The 16,679-nt window shown below is 39.8% G+C and overlaps 1 long non-coding RNA gene across 3 annotated transcripts in view; it reads left to right on the plus strand.

Moving 5' to 3' along the window:
* The window catches only part of LINC01591 (long intergenic non-protein coding RNA 1591), a 65,589-nt gene extending 58,478 nt beyond the window's left edge, over positions 1 to 7,111 (plus strand). For 2 of the 3 annotated variants that reach the window (NR_026706.2, NR_120396.1), the window contains 3 exons: positions 1,150 to 1,262; positions 3,889 to 4,144; positions 6,819 to 7,111. This is a non-coding gene — a long non-coding RNA (long intergenic non-protein coding RNA 1591). The remainder of the gene's footprint in view (positions 1 to 1,149; positions 1,263 to 3,888; positions 4,145 to 6,818) is intronic. The other variant, NR_120395.1, reaches the window with a different exon arrangement.
* The last annotated feature ends 9,568 nt before the right edge of the window (positions 7,112 to 16,679 follow it).

Raw genomic sequence — 16,679 nt, forward strand, 5'->3', positions numbered from 1 at the left:
GATTCAAGAAACATGAAAGATATGACATGAGAACAGTAATAACTAGGCTTCTGCTGCATTCCTATGACCTAGGCTTCCATTCTTATCACTCAGTCCCAGTCTAGGTCATTTGGTCCAATGTTTCAGTTATAGTTTTGGTTCCTGGCCTGATACATAAGTCCCCCTAGGACTTTGTTCCCCTAGAGATTGAAGCTGTATCCTTGAACCCCCAGCCAGTGCTGGAGAGCTACTGTGTGCTGGCATTCTTGCAGGATGACCATAGTCTGCCATATCGGTGAAAGTCATCGAGTCCCAAGCTCAGTTACTAAACATATCCACCGATACCACCCCTGAATCAACATGCCCAGAATTAATTGCATGCACCAAATCTCTTCTTCCCAATCTGCTCTTTCTCCAGTGCTCTCAGTTTTAGTAGATAGCATCACGATTTCTCCATTTTCCCAATCCAGAAATTCAGAGGCCATGCCTGAGTCTGTTTTTGCTTACCCCCACCCCATATCTAATCACCCAGTCCTACTGATTCTACTTCTGATAATTATTGTGATCTGATTCTCTCTGTATCTACTGCTATCTCCTTGGCCCAAGCCACCAGCATCTTTCATCCCAACGGCAGAGTTACCAGTTTACATTCTTGCCTTGCTCTCGCCAATTTTTCTCATAGCAGGCAGAGTGATCTTTTCAAAATACAAGGTCAATCCCACACATGCTGTCCTCCAATTGCTCCTCTTTATCTCAGTCCCTATTCATCCTGTAGATCTTAGATTAAATACAACTGCGACAGGTCAATTTTCCAAGACAACTTTTATAGCATCCTACATCTAGTCTTCATAATGTTTATCACAACTTGAATATACCAATTATTTGTGTTACCATTTTATGTCTATTCTCCCAGGTAGATTAAATTCTATAAATGGTAAATACTGTGTCTAGTTTTCTCCCCATTTCTCCAGAACCAAGTTCCCCATATAGTTAATGCTCAGTAAATATTTAATGAATAAGTTTATAAACAAATGTCACAGCGCATTCAAGCAGTGTCTAAGCAGAGGCCAAATAGTCATCATTCTGAAATGCTGCAAAGAGAAACTTCTGCTGTGAAGTTTGGACTAGATAATTCTTAAAGCTCTAAGTATTACTTTGATTCCCTTTTAGAATCTCATTGTCCTAATGTTAAATATATATCATCAGTGCTCAATGTTACAGCTTCAAACATAGAAGATACAAGAAGTAAATGCTGAGATTTCGCTATTTGTTAACCTATCATGGTAGGTACCATTTGTTGTTACAGTGTGTTCATTGTCTCATCTCATTTCCATTTTTAAGCCCTTTCTCCCAAATATGGGAGAGAGGGACAAAATTCTATTGACCTGATTTATCATCATCATAAACATTTAAGCCAACCAATCCAATAAATTAGGGGATGGTTTTAGACCTTACGAAAGGATTCACCAAAGGGGTTCCTTGAAACAGTAGGTTCTCTGATGGCACTTAAAATTGGATTTGATTTACAAAAATTTGATTTGCACATAACTATTCAGGAACATATTGATTGCTTTAAGTGAGGTACACTGGGACATAACTACCTTTAATCTTTTATAACAAAGGCAGCAATTGAAATTGCTTTTGCTAAGCAATTTTTGAAATTGAGGGTTCGATCTCTCTGCTGGCTTTTTCTCACTCAGAAGATTCCCTGTCTCCCAACACACTTTCCTTCTCCTAATTAAATGAGGTAACCATTTTGCATTATTTGTAGACTGCAGTGGCTGACAGAATCGTACTCGCGTCTTAGGGCTACTGAAAAAGCGGCCCTAGGGGCTTAATTTCATTTGCCTCCCTCTTTGTTAATACAGACACTTCTTATTCTCATTTCTTGGAAGCATTTTAGAGAGAATTGGTTTGTTGGTTATTAAAAAATGGTCAATTACCACGGTATTAGATGGACCCATATTCCCCAACCACAATGTCACTTTCATCCCATGAAAAAGTTTGTCCTTTGTGTGCATGTCTGTGTGTTTGCTTTATTTAGCTTGTGCTGTAGAGTGCCTAATAAGGAATCCTGACACTAGTTTGCACCATCTCCAGATTGAATTTCTTTATAGATCAGCCTTAGTAATTCATTTCCCAACTGGTTCTGATCAATACAGCTTGACTTGGCTTAAGGTTAGAGAAACTAGCACAACTGTGGCGTGCATAGGGTGCCTAAAAGCACCTCCTTCATAAAGGGTCTCTTTGATGGTGACCTGTCAAACTCATCCACGGCCTCTTAGTGGAGTCAGGGCCTGAGCTCTACTCAAGCCCCAAAGCTGTCATTGTCTTGTTCTCTTTGATTCTGTGAATCCAGAGGCCAGAGAGGCTTCTACGAAAACAGCATGGTGTGAGGGCAAAATCAGTAATGGCACATCAGGGTATGTGAGCCCCTGGCCCAGTTGTACTAAGAACTGACTATTGAGCTTCAGTGAGTGGCTCACGTCCTGAGATTCTGTTTCAGCATCCATAGACTAAGGCAGCCAGACCTGTTGATATCTAAAACTCCACTGAGCTCTGAAGTACTAAGATTCTGTGTAGAGGCAGAAAGTCCTGCTGTATTTTTAAGTATTTTCCTCAATTTTCAACAGCGTACTCTGAAATGACCACCTTTTGGGTAAAGGGAAGGAAAATCATTGTTTCTAGATCATGGAAAACTGCTTTCCCTCTGCCATAAGGATCCCAAACCAGACTTTCATACTTCCCAGCTGTGTGGTCTTGGCCAAGGCACGTGATCTCTTCTAGGTTCTGTTTCTTATTCGTAAAATGGTGACACATAGTTCTTCCTTTTACCCATTGAGGGGTGAGGATCAAATGAGGTCACAGATGATGTGAGAAGCACTTTGGAAGCAAAGCAGAATGCATAAAAGAGACTGTTTAATCAGGTGGCCATTGCATTTCCAGAGAACGGAGGCATGAACAACCCTCTGGAGTTTTATAAATCTGGCTTCCTCCTACTCTGTGCCCTCCCACCCTCCCCACTGTGGCTGTAGTTCTTGCTGGGCCAGAAATCATGGCTTGTTTACAACCTATTTGAATGCAGAGACTCATTAATGCAGGCAATGACACCCATCCTTGGGGACTACTGCAGAGATTCAGCCAAATAAACTCAGCCATCCTGTTCACCCCACCTGGACAAAAGCCGTAATACCTACTTGGTCAACCAACCAGCCAGCCAGTCAATGCTCTGTCTAACACACTGCAAGTACAGGGCTCACAAATGCTCCAGGGCAGAATCAACCTTGAGGATGAGCTGACCTCATATCCTTTTAAGTCAATAGTGACATTCATAGACTATTCAGTGATGTTCTAACAAGAGGCATGTCTATACATTTTTTTTCCTAAAATATTACTCATTTTTTTCTTAAATGGCACATCTGTAGACCCTCGGATCTGGAAATATAACTACATTCAACAATCATTTTTTAAAACTATTTATAATGTCCTGCATCCTTACTACAAGTTTCATATTAGACATGTTACACAAATGTTCTCACTTAATATATTCTTTGCAACATCTCTGTAAAACAGATATTCACTTAACAACATTACTTGAATGAATGAACACATTAAAAAATTAATATGGTTAAATAATGAACACTTGTTGAATGCTTTCTACATGCTAGGCATTTTGTTAAGCAGTGGAGATATAGAAATGAGCAAAATAGGCAAGGCAGCCATTATCACTGAGCTTATGGTCTAAGTATTATAATCTCCATTTGTAAATAAACAAGTTGAGAACACAGAAGATGAATTAACTTGCCCAAGGTATTCAGTAAGACAATGTTAGGTCAAGGGATCAAAAGTTAGCCTGGCTCTGGCCACAATGAAATGACTGATACAAATTTCTCTTCCTGACCCAAACAGTGATGAACCTATACAAATTGTGTAAAGCAAATGTTTTCAGGCATTGGATGTCAAGCAGCACAGGACTATCAACCTGAAGGAAAGAGAATCACACAAGATGAGCCTCATATTTATCCTGGCTTTCCGCTTCGGAGCACTCTCTCAACTTCAACACAGAGAAGTGAAACCCAAGTGAAAGAGTATTGCTAAACCAAGGAGGCAGACCTCATGTTTGTTCAAGAGTACCCAAGAGATAGGATCTGTAAGAGGCACACAGGTGAGACATATGTTTGGGGTTTCCCGTTGCATGCGCGCCAGGGCAAGACTACACAAAGCCTAACAGAGAGCAGCTGCTGAGAGCTGAAAACTGAAGGGAAGTTGCTGAGGTCATGGAGAGCTGTGACACATTGGAGGTTCAGCTCAGACAGAGTAGATACCTCACTGAGCACCTCAAGTATTCAGCTGAGACCTCAAGGACCAACTTCAGAAGGGCCAAACTATAGGAATAAGGACCCAGCCCTCGATTGAGGATCAATCCTTAGGATAAGGGCAAAATGAAGACAAAACCAGGCTTCAACAAATTAGAAAACCAGTTTTACAAAGGAAAGATTTGAAAATTCTAAAGTTGAAAATTATAATAATTAAATGTGTGTAATGACTTAACAGCATGTTAGAGATAACAAAAGAAAGGATTAATAAGCTTGAGATAAAATCAATAGAAATAATCTAACCTGAAGAATAAATGGGAGGAAAGCTTGAAAACAGGAAAAGCGCCTCATTGGCACACGGGATAATATCAAATGCCTAGCTTATGCATAACTGAAGCCTCCAAAGGAGACAATATGCAGGAAAAATATTTCAAGACAATTTCCAGACCGTCCCAAATTTTATAAAAATATCAGCTTATAGATCTAAGAATCTCAGCAAACATAAAGCAAGGTAAATACAAAGAAACCCTGTAGTAGAAGATGATATAACAGTACTGATTTTAAAGACAACAAAGAGCTGACAAAAAATATTATAAGCATATTTTTAGTAATAAATTCAACAACTTAGATAAAATTGAGATACGGACAAATTCTTTGAAAGGCATAATGTAACAAAAGTCACACAAGTCCTTTAAAAATTGAAAATTTATTCTAAAATGTATATGGAAAAGCAAAGGACCTGAAAAACAAAATAGTCTTGGAAAAGGAAAATTTGGAAAACTCATACTGTCTTATTTCTAGATTTACTGTAAAGCTACAGCAATAAATGCAGTGTAGTATTGGCATAAGGACAGACAATTAAATCAATAGAACAGAATGAGGGAATCTACAAATAAATCCAGACATTTGGATCAATTGATTTTTTTAAAAAATTATGCTAGCAATTTAACAGGGTAAGAAAATTCCTTTCAAGAAATAGAGGGAAAAGAGACATTCTAACACTTTCCTAATCAAACATGAAAATCAATTTAAGATGGATCATGGACATATATGCAAAAACCAGTCCTATTAATCTTCTTTAAGAGAAGGAAGAATATTTTCAAGCTCTAGATAGAAAGATTTCTTAGAAACTCTACAAAAATAACCCAAAAGAAAAAAACTGATAAGTTGAACTTCATTAAAATTGAAGACTCTTAGACACACACACACACACACACACACACACACACACAAACACACACACACACTTCTGTTGATAAAATGAAAGGGCAAATCATAGACTTGGAGGAATTATTCACAGGACCTATATCTTACAAAAGACTAATATTAATAATATAAAATAATATCTGCAAATTAACGATTTAAAAAATGATGTCAGCTGGGCACGGTGGCTCATGCCTGCAATCCCAGCACTTTGGGAGGCCAAGGTGGGTGGATTACCTGAGGTCAGGAGTTTGAGACCAGCCTGGCCAACATGGAGAAACACTGTCTTTACTAAAAATACAAAATTAGCCAGGTGTGGTGGTGCATGCCTGTAATGCCTGTAATCCCAGCTACTCGGGAGGCAGAGGCAGGAGAATGGCTTGAACCCAGGAGGCGGAGGTTGCAGTGAGCCGAGATCGTGCCATTGCACTCCAGCCTGGGCGACAAGAGAGAGACTCCGTCTCAAAAAAAAAAAATGATGTCATAAAAATAGGCCAATGACTTGAGTAGACACTTCATAAAAGATATATGAATGGGCAATGAGGTTGCAGAAAAAGCTCACTATTTTTAGTCATTAGGAAAATGTAAATTAAAGTCACAATAAAATACTACCACATACCTACTAGAATGGCTAAAATTAAAAACAAAAGAAGAAAGAAAATGTGGGCTAGAATGAGAAACAATGGAAACCCTCACACATGCAGTGGAGATGTAATGACAGACTTTGGAAAACTCTGGAATTTCTCACAAAGTTAAATGTACATCAGTCCTACAACTTAGCAATTCCACTCCTAAGTATTTACCCAAGATAAATGAAAAGACATTTCTATGAAAAGTCTTGTCTTAGAATGTTTATAAAGCTAAATTTAATATCTCTAACCTAGAAACAGCCCAAATGTCTACCAATAGGAGAATGTATACGCATGTAATATGTTAATTCAATGAACTGCTAATTAGCAATAAATGCTATGAAGTACTGATATCCACAGCAACATGAATGAATCTTAAGAACATTGTACTGAGTGAAGTAGCTAGACAGAGCACATACTCCATGGTTCATTTATATGAAGTTCAAGGACAGGCAAAACTAATCTATGGTGATTGAAATTAGAACACTGGTTGCCTTTAGGGCAGTGAGGATTAAATGAGAAGAACCGTGAGACAACTTTCTAGGATGATTAAAACATCCTTTATTTTTACTGGTATTTTTTAGAGGGGGGTATGTATTTGACACAACTCATTAAAAAATACCTTTTAAAATCTGTTTTCTTATGTATAAATTTGTCTCAGTTAAGATAACCCAGTCTGTTTGACTCCAAGGACCACATTTGTTCTACCACGCTATGCTGAATATGAGGCAAAAGTTAACACCTGGAAATTTTGCTATCCTGAAATGAGGCAGTGCATTGTGGAGAAAAAAAGAATGGACTCTTCTATTAAATGAACGTAAGTGAGCAAGCTGTTTATAAACTATAAAAGTGACAAATATGTATAATTATATTTAAATGTTATCATTACAAATTGTTAAGGCAGTATTGCACCCTACGGGCTTTGGAAACCGTGACCATTTGCATTCATTATCGATCATTGCATAAAAATAATCACAAAACTAAGTGGCTTGAAACACCAGATTTTATTCTTTCATTATCTGTGGTCAGGAGTTTGGGAGTGCAAACAGTCGAGCTGTCTGCCAGGGCTGCAGTCATCTGAAGGCTGGAAGGTCTTCTTCCAAGTTTGCCCCATGGTTGTTGACCTGTCTCCGTCCTTCACTGGATGTCTACAGGAGGCCTTAGCCCTCTCCACAGACTGCCATGAGTCCATGCGACATGGCAGCTGGCTTCCCCCAAAGCAAGTAGCCCAAGAGAAAGCACAAAACCAAAATGGAAGCTGCAGTGTCTTTTATACTTTTATACTCTAATCTTGGCAGTGACATGCCATCACTTCTGCAGTATTGTGCTGGCCACAGAGCCCTCCCCTGGTGCAAGTGGCAGGAGGGTGTTCCAGCATCACTATTTCAAGAGAAGCAGGGACCAGACTATCCTGCCCAGATAGTCTGCCTAAGCACTCTTACAGTCTGCCTGTAAATCTGACTTTTGAAAATGGCACCTTCTAATTTAGGCACCTGAATCTAATAAGTTCAATAATCAACCTACATTTCGTAACTTCTCCCATCACTCTTATATGTTCCTCGTGTGTTTAGTATCTTTTTCCCTTTCCTTTCCCATTAGACTGTGAGCTCTGTTAAAGAAACTCTGTGCTTTAATCTTCTTTAAAATTTTCACGGGCACTGTTTGAAGTTCACATTGATTTTCACGTAGCCAGGGCTCAAGCTGTGCTTGCTGGTTACAAACATTTTACAAAGCAGAACACCCAGAAAGTAAAGGTAACTGTCATAACGTATATCAATCAGTTATTTCCCCAATAATAGTGTATAAGAAACCACCTCCAAACTTAAATCCATATAACAACCACTTATTCTCTTGCTCATGGGTCTGCAGGTCAATTGAGAATGGGTTGATCTTGGCTGGACAGCTCCACTTCAGGGTCAGGGTCAGCTGGGCTGGGTTTCTTGCGGCAAGTTAGACTCAGGTCTATGCCACCTGGGTTCATTCTGGAACTCAAGCTGAGGGGCAGTGTCCATTCTGAGGAAGCTCCTCTCAGGTAATAGCAAAAGCACAAGAGGGACAATATAACCAGGCAATGCATGTCAAGTTTTCTTGCTTTGTGAATACTACCATCCCATTAGCCAAAGCAGGTAACATGGGTGAGCCTAAAGTCAGGAGCAGGGAAATACACCGTTTCTAGCGGGGGGAACTTTAAAGTCACATAAGAAAGGACATGAGCAAAGGAATAAAAATTGTGGCCAACAAATCTACTATGTACTGGCACAAAGTTACTAGAGCCATCTAAGAACTAAGTGTTGCTGAGAATATTTGACTTTCTGGAAATAGTTGAGTATTCTTTTCCTTTTAGAACTGAGAAACACTTGAGAAGTAAGTTAAACCTGAAAATCAACATGAGAGTGCTATGATACGTAGCATAGATTTTAGCAATCCTACTGTCCCCCACTTACTGGTTGGGGACCCTGTCACAGTTCTTTTAACTTCTGAGTGTTTTTTTGTCCAAAGTAAAGGCAAGATAAAAATCTATGCAGGTTGTGAAAATTAACATAAATTAACATATTACATATTGGTACTAGATGTTCTCAATGTCTGTTTCCCCATCTATCTTGCTGGAGAGGCAGGGAGGGTGGAGGGAGCTTTAATTTTCCAGCAAACTTGGGAGCCTTGGACTCAGTCAGGGAAGGACTCAGCTTTCTTGAAATGAAAAAAAGGTAATGACAGAGACTCTATACCACATTCACCCTCATGTTGCTTAAAGACAAAAGCATAATCAACCGTCATTTATCTAGTGCACTGAAATACTACGTTATTGCCATAGAGACATAATTATGAGTAATTAAATGGAAGTGTTTTCTAAAATCTTTTTGAATTAAAGTCTAAATATCTACCTTTTCACTCAATTCATATAAGCATAAGTTAAACACTGCAGCACATATCTTGTTTTGCTCCAAATCAAATCAGTGAGTTATTTGTGGCAATCTTATCAGAAGCAAGTGAATGAAATCCTCTCCAGCCTTATTGTGAAGGTACAGCTTCCACTCTCCCTTAGGAGTAGAATCTGGCTTACCAAATGAAATCCTCTCCAGCCTTATTGTGAAGGTACAGCTTCCACTCTTCCTTAGGAGTAGAATCTGGCTTACCAAAGCAAACTTCAGTATAACGTTGTTTTTTTTCTACATCTCTATAAAGGTCTGCGAGCAGGTCAGTAGCTTTTGAGAAAGCTCTTCCAACAACACTGGAATAAATTGGGGCTCTCTTTGCTAGAAAATCCCATAGAGGAATCCTTCAAGATTTGAAAGAGACCTGTGAGCTCTCATCACTTCTGACTCTGTTCCTCACATGCTAGAATCAGTCCCCACCAAGCCAAAGTACATTCTGCACCCAAAACACATTTCAAATCCATCTGCACAACCCCATCAGCAGCAACTTGGGTTACAACTATAGCCTTTTTTTTGGAGTTAAGAGTCCTACTCTGTTGCCAGGCTGGAGTGCAGTGGCATGATCTCGGCTCACTGCAACCTCCGCCTCCCAGGTTCACTAGGTTCAAGCAATTCTCATGGCTCAGCCTCTCAAGTAGCTGGGATTACAGATATGCATCACAATGCCCAGCTAACTTTTTTGTATTTTTAGTAGAGACAGGCTTTCACCATGTTGCCCAGGCTGGTCTTGAACTCCTGACCTCAAGTGATCTGCCTCAGCCTCCCAAGGTGCTGGGATTTCAGGCATGAGCCACCATGCCCAGCCTATAGCCTCTTAAATGCTCTCTCTGCATCTACTCTCATTATCATCCCAATTCATTTTCACATTGCAACTACAGTGGTTTTTTACAAACCCAGAACCACATCACATGTCTCGCTGAAAAGCCTTCCAATGATTTATCATTGTAGTTAAGACAAAAACTCAAAATTGTTAAGGGGTCATCAGGGGTCCACTTGGGCCTGTTTGCTCTCCTGCTTGTCTGTATATACCTCAATCTCATCTCTAGTTACTTAACCCCACTGTACTGAACTTTCTCCCAGCTCTTTAATATTCTAGTTCTTTCCTTCTCGGGATCTTTGCATAGTTGTTCCCTCAGTCTGAACCACCCTTTCCCCTACCCTTTACATGTCTGGTTCCCCCTTATCATTCATCTTAATTTAAATTTCACCTCCACAAAGTGGTCTTCCTTGATTCCAATAGATCTCATCATTCACTGCTACCACCCCATTCATTTCCTTTAGTATTTACCCTAATTTGTTATTGTAAATAGATTTATGATTTGACTTGTTTGGTGTCTGACTCATCCATTGGATGTGCGGTCCAGAATGACAGGAGTAAAATCTGTTTGTCCACCATATCATAACAGTGCACAGCCCTGTGTTTGGCCCTGGAAGATCTCCAGTAATTATTTCTTAAATACATGGATGGATGAATAAATGAATAAATAAATGCATGAGTAAGTGAAGGAGGCTAAGTCATCAATATTTACATGAATATCCAAAATATCTTCAAACTCCCATCAGATGGCTCTCCCTGGGGCATTGCCTGTAGAACGAGGAGTCTGCTCTGAAGTCAGGCATTGTCTCTGGGAGGACAAAGCAAAGCTTGGAAATAAGAGAGCCTGGATTCTCCTGGTCTTTGATCTGTTTCCAATTTCCCACATGACCCTCAGCAAATTTCAGAGTCCTTCTGAACCTTAGCTTCCTTGTAGTTAAAATGAGGGTTTGCAACCAACTCAGGGATACTTAACCACAAGGGCCATGACCCCTATGGATGTCCATCTTATCTTATCGTGGGGTAGTTAGCTTTCAAATTTTAAAATGTTTTTTACTCCAAAAAAGGTTAAGAAACATTGGTTTAGGTTAACTTTAAAGTCTCATATGCCTCTGATAATCTGTGTTTGTATAAAAGGAAGGCCCATGTACTGGTCAAGGTTAGATATGCTTGCATGTAACAGAGACCCCAAATGACAGTATCTTAAACAAGTTGTCTGTGCTGTTTGCATGTCCATCTCCTTTCCAGATGGTGAGCCTCAGAGGGCACAGGTTGTGTCTGTTTATCTCCATAGACTCAGACTCCAGCAGGGCCTGGCACAATAGCAGTTTCAATAATTGCTTGGCAAATGAGTGAATGAGCAGGTGTTAGTCGGAGGAAGGGGAGCAGCTCTTCTAAGCAGAGGAAACAACATCAGGAAAGATATGGGAGGTGGGGTAAATTCATCTCTGTTGGAGGCCAGTGTGCTTACTGGGGCAGAGGAAATGAAGGCGGCTGGTCAAGAAGACCAGCACTCAAATGTACTTCCTCAAATGCCCTTCTAAGCCCCCCATCAGGTATAATGCTAATAGCTGACGCCTTTCTTATATGGTGCCTATTACCATTTCTAACCATACAATTGAGAATTAGTGCATGGAGATTAAGAGTGCAGGCCCACTTCCTGGGCACAGATCTTGGCTCTGACACTTCCTAGCTGTGTGACCTCTGGCAAATCACTTAAACTCTCTATAAGGTAGTTTTCTCATCTGGAACATGAAAATAAAAGTGTCTATTTCATAGACTTGTTGGAAGGCCAAAATGAAAAAAATCACTTAAAGTGATTAGAATAGTGTCTTGATCATTAGTGCTTAGTAAATGTTAGCTATTGTTAGGTAGATTGTTAGATAGATAATATACAGATAGATTATATTTAGATGGAGACAGATGATAGGTAGATGAATAATCTGTGAGAGTAGTTGATTAAGGTATATCTACCATACTACAATATAAGAAAGGGCAAGAACACATGTTACTATTACGGAGGCAGCCTAGAAAAGTGTCTGGAATGGAGAAGGTGCTTAATAAATGTAGACTGAAAGCTACATTTACCGAATGCGAAGATGTGACTGGAAAGGTAGGAGAATGACATGGGATCTTATAAGCTGTCCTAAGAAGCCTGAACTTTTCCCTGAGAGCTGGTCCAGGTTCCTGAAGGAACATGAAATGATCTAATTTGCAGTAGCACAGAGACTGGACTGGAGGGTCACAGGTGGGGAGGCCTGGAGACCAGCCACTCCAGCTGAGAGAACAATCCAGGCCCTAGTCGATGAGAGTCTGGATTGAGGAAGAGGCAGCACAGAAGGAAAGAAAAGAGTTTTACGTTCTCTGACTTTATGCAAGTTGTCTCACTCAATCTTAGTTTCCTTATTGGGAGAGCAGAGCTGAGAACACTATACTCACAGGGTTTTTGTGGGAAATATATAAAATATAGGAAGAGTGATTCACATATACTTGGTGCAGTAGACAATCAGCATGTTACTCCACTTCCCTCACCGTTTTCCATCACTAAACACATTCCTCCCCCAAAACACACACGGTTAACTTTCTTTTCATTGGTCAATAATCAGGGAAATAGAACCTAATCTTCTAATCAGATACTCTTAAGAATGAAACAAACCTTTAAGATCAATTAGTCCTACTCAGAGATGTTTAGAAATGGAAGAGATCCTAGATCATAATTTCTCCATACACAGATAGACACAAAGGATCAGAAAGCAAAGGTGATTTTCCCAACATTGCACAGCTTATAGGCATTAGAGCTGGTCAGATTTATACCCAACTGTTGATTCCACAACCACCATTTCCTTCACCTTATCTGAAAGGTTGACCAATGTGTGGTGTGATGTGAGTGTTAACATGCAGGAGTATTTATTAACTATGTTCACAAACACCAATGTCAGTTAGCTTAAGGTAAAAAAGAAACCCTGGAACAATAATATCTATGATGTATAACATAAAAATGGTGTTCCAGGGACCGAGACACTTTCTTTGTTTACATTCCTTCGTTTCATCTTCATTACTATTCCTATTTTACAGATTTAAAAAAGCAAGTCTCAGAGAAGTAAATAATTGCTCCTAAGTGATATAATTAGGGCTCAAACATGTTAATACATTAAACAAGCTGCATTAAGTAGCTTGTATTGGAGCACTTATTGTTTGCTAAATACTCTGCTAGATACTAGATCAGTCCAACTGCAAACTGAGCTCTGTCTTTATTCCAAATCAGTGCTCACTCATGCAAAGCCCCAGTTGAAAACACATGTATTGCACTCGTGGGCTAATTTTTCTCTAGGATTCTGATTTTTCGGTATTAATTATTATTTCCAAATATATTTTCATTGTTTTCAACTATATTTTAAATATCTTTATTTCCTTCCTCTAACATGTCAAATTCAGTCTGTTTAACCCAGTGGATGTTTAATTGAGTCATAACTATGTAAACACAATATAATAGAATGGATTATATGTAAATGTCAAATAAAACAGAATCCTTTCCCAGAAGGAGCTGACAGTTTCACAGTTTTATACTAGGTGGTATAAGGATTCAGTAGATGTACTAGACTGTGGGGTGGAGGGAGGAGAACAAGACATTTAATGAAGGCCTATCTTGTACCAGATACTGTTGATTGGTGCTTCCCATATATTATCATGTAAACCCTCATAAGAGTCACTTCTGGTGGAAAACAGAAGAACATTGAGGACTCAGAGAGGCTGACTAACCTACCCAAGCTCACACTGCATGTGCTAGTGAGTGACAGAGGAGGGGTTCTGCCCCCAGCCTGACCCCCAAACCTACACCCTATTCATTAGGTCACACTATCCCTAGGAAGCAACCAAATAGTGGAAGAGGAGGAAGCCATAATTCTGAGTGGGAAGCTGTATCTCCTTTAACTGTTTTTTCACTCCCATGTTTAAAATCTAGGCATACAATGTTAAAATGGTAAGGGGATTTAGAGATTATCTGGTTCTAAGAAGGCAAGTAGGTATGTGTGCATGGCCAGTGGGAAAGGTAATTCCAACCTAACAGCTAACTAATCTTACCTTCCAATTTATCAGATGAGAAGTCCAGAGCCCAGAGAGGTAATGTCTTTGTGTATGTTGAAGACCATGAATTAATCCCAGGCACATTGATTTCTGTCCCATCCCTGCAGCTGTTGATGCAGTGTGAGTTGCTGGCATAAGGATGGCTTTGTTTAAGCTCAGGTGGCTGGAAAGGGGAAGGATAGGAATGGCTGAAGTATAAAAAAAGCCTTGGAGAAAATAGTTGAGATGGATCTGCACTTCCAGAACCAGAGGAAGAACTCAGAATGGAGACATATCCAGAGGTTAGAAGAGAATGGTCAAAAAACAGATAAGAAGACCCAGGTACTGGCAAAAAAGAGGGCAGTCCTAAGACCTTGGAAACAGCCAAGAGTAGTGAGACAAAACCATGAGAAGAAGTGGGGCTTGAAATCAATAATGAGGCCATGTCACAGGAGGCAGATCAGTCCCAGAGCTAAGAGGAAAACAAATATTAACTGGACACCATGCTGGTTATTTTTGGATGCGCTAATTTATTTAATTTCCACAAATGCATTGTGGGCTAGGTATTCTAATCACTGATATGTATATGGAGAAACTGAGGCTTAGAAAGGTAAATAACTTGTCACACAAGTGAAACTGAAATCCTGATCTTTTATTTCTAGCAAACTGATCTTTTCACTGGCCTAAGGATTCTCAATTCTGGGTGAAGTTTTCCCTCCCAGGTGTGTTTAGCAAGCTTTGGGGATATTTTGCAACTGATGTTTCTACTGGCATATTGTGGGTAGAAGCCAGGGATGCTGCTCAACATCCTACAAAGCACAGGGCAACCCCTACTAACAGAGAATCAGCCAGCCCCAAATGACAACCACGTTGTGGTTGAGAAGCCTCGGTCTACACTGCTGGTGTCAAAAACAATATATTTTGAAGCAAGTGTTTTGTATTTGAAAGTATGCATTCACTCACTAGTCACACATGTATTGAGTGCTACTACTTCTAGGCACTGTTTTAGACTCTGGTAATACAGAATTGAACCATTAAAATTTTGTCACCTTGGAATTGATATTCTAATTAATATACCATCAATAAATACATCAGCCAATAATAACACCAGCAGGTAGGTAGGCAGTATACAAACCATAGAACTGAAGGAGCTTATCTAATGACAGTGGCAAAAACATTCTAATGGAGGAAGAGAAATAACAGAGTTCTGAGCCCTTAACATTCAGAGATTGGAAAGAGGAACAGCATCCAGCAATGGGGCTGGAGAGGAACAGCCATGGGATAAGAGGAGAACCAAGAGGTGAGTTTCCAAGAAACCCAATGAAATGAGTGTTTCAAAACAAAGAGAGCAATCCTCTGAGTCAGGAGATGTGGATGCAACTTCTGGCCTCACCACTCCCCTCCAGGGAAATGGATCACTAGCTTCCAGGAACTCGGTTTATCTCCCAGTGGATTAATTTGTTCTTGTAAAAATAGGACTCCTGAAGTTTGCTGTGAGAATAAAATCAGTGAATGAATATGGAATATCTTTGTAAATTGCTTTATGAATAAAAGAGATCATCATTATGCCCTCCAGAAAGCCTGTGTGTCCAGATTTTGGTTTCATGGTTTGTTTATTTTACTGAAACCATAACGAAGTGAAGCTATTGATGGGAACAAAGGGAGACGTTTTCTGATATGGCGTAGCTTACAACGTGCATCAGAAACAACCTGATAAAGGAGTGCAGGGACGATTTTTTTTCCAAATTTGTTAAGAATGCTTTGGCTAAATATTTTTGCGTAATTTATTTTTAATAAGTTTACTTAATAAGCCATTTGCTTGGCATTAGAGTAGAGCCAGTGCAATCTATAATCACACTCCATCATCATATAGGGAGAGTATTTGAAGGCATTTCCCCAAAGAATATTTTGGGCTTTGGAAAAGGGAAAATAAAGAAGTAAGTGCTGGTTGAGCAGCCAAAAATACTTACTAAGGTAATCACTTGTCCTTTAAATCTGGAGCAACCTTAAATAGAGATCCTCAGTTTTTAAAAATAACAGGTGTTTACATTGCATTTACCATGCACCAGACACTGTTGTAAGCACTTTACACAAAAAATGCATTTAATCTTCACAACAACCCTATGAGGTAGATACCACTGTGATCATTTTACAGATTAGAAAACTGAAATTGAGAAACTAACAGAGGTCACTTCGCTACTAAAGGCCAGAGCTGGGCACGCACCCAGAGCATCCAGAGTCTGTGCTTGTAACCACACTTTCACATCCCTTCGACTGTAGAGATAAGCTAACAAACACGAAGAGGCATAGGGACTTAGCCAGGCTTGCTCGCTAGTTAGTGATGGAGCAAGGGCAAGTTTGCAGTTTCTTTGTCTCATTAGTCAAGATGATCAAATAGCCACTTTTTTGGCAAATAAAGATTCTAGCATTTTTAAGGAGATGTATGAAGACAAGTGTAAATAGTGAGAAAGAGGAGGATGGCAACTGAACAGCCACTACTCATAACTACTGGAAGCTGCAAAACACTGTCCCAACAAGGCCTGACTGATGCTCTTCTGTTCGCACCATCCATAGGCCACCAGCTCTGGTGGGCAAAACAGCCTGGATGGCCTATCCCTTGGGGATATCGTCAGTATGGTTTTGATGTTTTCAAAGGCTAAGTACCCATGAGAAGCAAAAGTCTCTGCCTCTGGCAATTCTGCAGAATTAGAATTCCTCAAGTACAGCTTCTCTGGCCATCCTG

The sequence above is a fragment of the Homo sapiens genome, chromosome 8 (genome assembly GCF_000001405.40).
Source record: "Homo sapiens chromosome 8, GRCh38.p14 Primary Assembly".
In the NCBI taxonomy this organism is placed as follows: Eukaryota; Metazoa; Chordata; class Mammalia; order Primates; family Hominidae; genus Homo; species Homo sapiens.